At 52.9% G+C, this 4,254-nt stretch overlaps 1 annotated feature.

The window, feature by feature from the left end:
* Positions 236–530: a silencer, noted in NCBI's record as "tiled region #11329; K562 Repressive non-DNase unmatched - State 20:ReprD". NCBI's record gives its function as "represses a minimal TATA promoter and a strong SV40 promoter by Sharpr-MPRA in K562 cells {active_cell/tissue: K562}" and the evidence as "EXISTENCE:reporter gene assay evidence [ECO:0000049][PMID:27701403]".

Here is a 4,254-nt window from a genome sequence, read left to right as displayed (position 1 = left end):
GCAGGAGAAGGAAGAGCCAGGCTGATCGGTGGGGAGTGCCTGCCCCAGATGGCCTGTGCGTACCAGGACTGTGGGGGCTTCCTTCACACACCGTCTGAATTATTCAGACAGGGAGGCCACAGGGGCCCGAGAGGTCTATGATGGTTAGGGGTTTCATGGCCACTTAGGTGGACCAAAAAAGAAAAGAATTGCGTTCCGCCTGCTTATCTCCTAACCTTATAAACTCAGGATTAGCAGATCAAGGGAGGATTTGGCACAGCTGAGGGACGACAGTGGCTTCAGAGAACAGTTTGGGCTCCATCCTTCATAATCAAATGAGCTTAGGTCATTGATAAGTAAATGGCGTTTTGAATCCCTCTAATTGGGCGTGTGGGTCACGCCTGAGCCCAGGCAGCCCAGCCGTCCTGGCAGAGTTAATGAGCCAGAGAGGGGCCTGGGTGTGGATCCCAACAGTGGCCACAAGAAGGAGTGCCAGGGTGTATCCTGGCTTGGGCAGGGGCCCCAGAAGTTAAGAGTAATCGCTTTGGAGCCAGAAGTGATGGATTCAAGCTCCCAGCACTGCCACCAGCTAGCTAGGAAACCTGGCGGGGGCGAGGGGGTGTCCCATAACTGCTGGCACCTCAATTTTCTCAGCCGTAAGATGGGGCCATGGACGTGTTAATAACTACCCTTTATTGAGAACTCCACACTCCATGTGCGGTGCTGTCAGAGGGAGGCATCACTCAACCCAGAGCCTATGCTCCTAAGGACCAGTGGAGACCAGCCTTGGAGGGCATCTGCAGCCTGAAAGGGACAGCGGAGTCCAGAGCAGGAGGCAGGGTGACAGCCGCTTCTCCCCTCCCCGCTAAGTGACCATGCAGACAGCACTGTGCCTTCACTTCCTCACCGGTAAGCGAGTTCTCCCGGGTGCAAGGGCACCACTGCAGGGAAAGCCCCGAGTGATGCCATTAATCAGTGATTGCTGTTACCACCCTTAGTGCTGGATCCTCCTTAGTGATGTGAATTTCCTGTGCCAGTCACCTGCCCGTTTGATATCGGGTCTTATCTCTGCCCTTACGCTCTGCTCTGTATCCAGGAGTGACGTTCCCTGGACTTCTTGGCCACCTGGTTTCTGGGTTGGTTTGGCCAATGGGCAGCACTGTGGAGAGCGAGGGGAGAGAAAAGCTAAAGTGTTTCTCCCCTCACTGTGTTTCCTGTGGTGTCCCCAACACCACTGTGTCAGCTCTCAGCTCCCAGCAGAGAGCCCCCACCAACCTTCAAATTCAGCCTCCTGCTGCACAGCCCTAGCTCTCAAGCTCTCACAACTCCACCTCCTCTCTCTCCTTCCAGCCTCCTGGTAGTAGCAATTTCCCACAGTTGCTAACCTCTGGGCTGTTTTACCTTTCTCTGCTTGGCTTCTCAGCCCTCATGTCTCTTGTATAATCAGTTCCCTCCACTGAATTCTCTCTAATTGAAAGACCCAGCCAGGCGCGGTGGTTCACACCTGTAATCCCAGCACCTAGAGAGGCCGAGGCGGGTGAATCACTTGAGGTCAGGAGTTTGAGACCAGCCTGGCCAACATAGTGAAACCCTGTCTCTACTGAAAATACAAAAATTAGCCAGGCGTGGCGGTGCTCACCTGTAATGCCAGCTACTCGGGTGGCTGAGACAGGAGAATCACTTGAACCCGGGAAGCAGTTGCAGTGAGCTGAGATCACACCACTGCACTCCAGCCTGGGCAACAGAGTAAGACTCTGTTCCAAAAAGAAAATAAAGAAAGACCTGGAGAGTTTTCTGATGGCTAAGGTCGTCGGTTACCTGCGTAGCATTTACCATTCATCCACGCAGTAACAACTCAGCAAGCGCTCTTGGCTAGACCCTCCACAACCTAGACATTTCAAATGCAGGGAGACAGGCAGCTGCCTTAGGGGTCATGAGCTGACCAGGCTCAGAGTGTGTGGTGAGCGTGGGCCAAGCAGGAGAGAGGGTTCCCATGGCTAGTGTCGGGAACGCAGGCCTGTCCACTCCCCAAGCCCCTTCCTGTCCGCAATGGCCTGGGAGCCAAGCTGAGTGACTGCTCCAGTTGGCAGGTGGGCAGAGGGAGGCCCAGGGAGGTGAGGCAGCTGGGGAGTCCTGTGCAGAAACAGAAGGAGCCTGAGTTCTGGGTCAGCCCTGGGGCACCAAGTGACCTTGAGGAAGTGTCCTCTTCTCTCTGGGCCTCTGTTGCCTCCATCTAGTTTCTCCAACTGAAAAATATGATCTGCACAGATCCTCATGCCTATATTTTAAAGTTTCTGATGATTCATTAAAAGGAGAGAACACAGCAAGGAGAAGACACCCCCAAGCTGTGAGTTTGGGCTCTTAACCTAAAGATGTTACCAGGTCAGAGACCTCAAAGTGCACTGTGTTCCTTGGGTCAGGCAGGGTTGGGTCTGAGTCCAGCTCTGCCATAACTTGCTGTGTCGCCCCAAGTAAGTCACTCTCTCTCTCTGAGCCTTGGTTTCCCCTTAGGAAAAATGTGGTCCACAGCAGTACTCATCCAAAAGGCAAAGGTGCAGGTGGACAGCGATGATGTGTGAAAACACCAGGCACACAGTAGGTGCTCAATAAATGCTAGCCACATTGCCGTGGAAACTTGGTGGAAAGCAAGGCAGGAAGACCAGGAAACAGGGTGGAAACTTGACAGTGAAAGATGTTAATGACCCAGGACTCCCTGACACTCTCCCCTGAAGCGGACACTCTACCCGCCCGGGCCGCTGTCCAGGAAGAAACTGGGAGTGCTGAAAACCAGCCACCTCCAGCAGCCAGATTACGTGTTGCAGCCACAGAGGATTTTTGAAAGGCTGACAAAGGTGACATCCTCTCACACAGTCTCAGAAACGTGCCTGTTCCCCTCCCAAGGGTTTAGCCTTACCCTGAGTCAACACCTGTGAAAGTGAGGGAGCGAGCCCCTGTTGGGGGTGGAAGGGCATGCAGGTGTGGAGGTGACCAGCTGCTTTCATTGGCTGCAAAACAGACAGCCTGGGGCTACAAGACCCCCCCCAACCAAAGCCTGGCTCTGTGGGCAGAGCCCCCAGTGCTGGGCACAGACCGCACTAACACTGCCCATGGTCACCCAGCAAAGATGGGGGTCCTTGGGTGAAGAGGGTGGACAGGTGGGTGACCAGCCTGCTTCTTTCAAGTCCCCAGCCCCCTCACATGCTCCAGCTAAAAATAATACCACCCTGGGAGACCCGCTGCTGCTGGCACAGCCGGACCATGCATAAAACATGCGCCGGTCAGGTTTCTTCCTCTGAATGGCTTCATTCAGAGCGTGCAGGGGTGAAAGGTTTACAGGAGGGATCGCTCGGCTTCCTGGAGGGGCTGGAGCAGCCCCGGCCTCTGCCTGGGCCCCAGCCTTCCCCCTCTGTGCCTGGCACCTTGGCCCAGTGGCAGCCCACACAGAGGGCTCCCAGGACGTGGCTGGCTGAGGGTAGCCCCCTCTCCCAATGTCCCTCGAGGCAGTGTCCTGGACCCCCTTAATGGATAAAGAGGGGCTGCTCTGTCAAAAGTCAGCCAGCTCTAGGTTTGAATCAGGCTTCTCCCACATGTCCAAGTGTTTGTGTGCACCCCACTTTCTGACATGCACTCAGAGAGGGTGAGTGAGTTGTACAAAGACATACAGGCAGGAAGAGGTGGAGCCATCAGACTGAAACCCAGCTCTATCTCACTCAGAGTCATTGAATGCTCTGCCTTTTGGTCATGGCCTGAGGACAAAGTGGCTCAAGGAATGGGACATGGAGGAAAGAAAGGTTCAAGGGAGACTTATCTGAAGTCAGTAATTCCTGAGAGGGTTGGAGTCGGGGCCTTCCCACAAAACAGCTTCCTCCCTCTTTTCTTTCTCCCACTCTTCCTCTCTCCCATTTTCATTCATTCATTTTTTTCTTTCTTTATTCACTCAATAAATATTTCCTTATAAATATTTTCTTAGTCATAAAAACATACACTCACCATAAAAAAGTAAAGTTTCAGAAATGTAGAGTTAAAAGAATAAAAAATCCTAAAATCTCCCATTCCCGTTATCTAGCACTATATCACAAACCACCCCAAATTTGCTGGGAGAGAATAACCATTTAATCATGCTCACAGATTCTGTGCTTCAGAAACTTGAATAGGGCACGTAAGGGATGGCTTATCTGTGCTCCTGTGATGTCTGAAGCCTCAGCTAGAAAGACTCAAACAGCTGGAGACTAGAATCTTCTAGAAGCTTCTTCATTCATATGTCTGGCTCATGAA

Source organism: Homo sapiens, chromosome 16 (genome assembly GCF_000001405.40).
Source record: "Homo sapiens chromosome 16, GRCh38.p14 Primary Assembly".
In the NCBI taxonomy this organism is placed as follows: domain Eukaryota; kingdom Metazoa; phylum Chordata; class Mammalia; order Primates; family Hominidae; genus Homo; species Homo sapiens.
The sequence above is the reverse complement of the archived record's forward strand: the minus strand, read 5'-3'. Positions and strand labels throughout refer to the sequence as shown.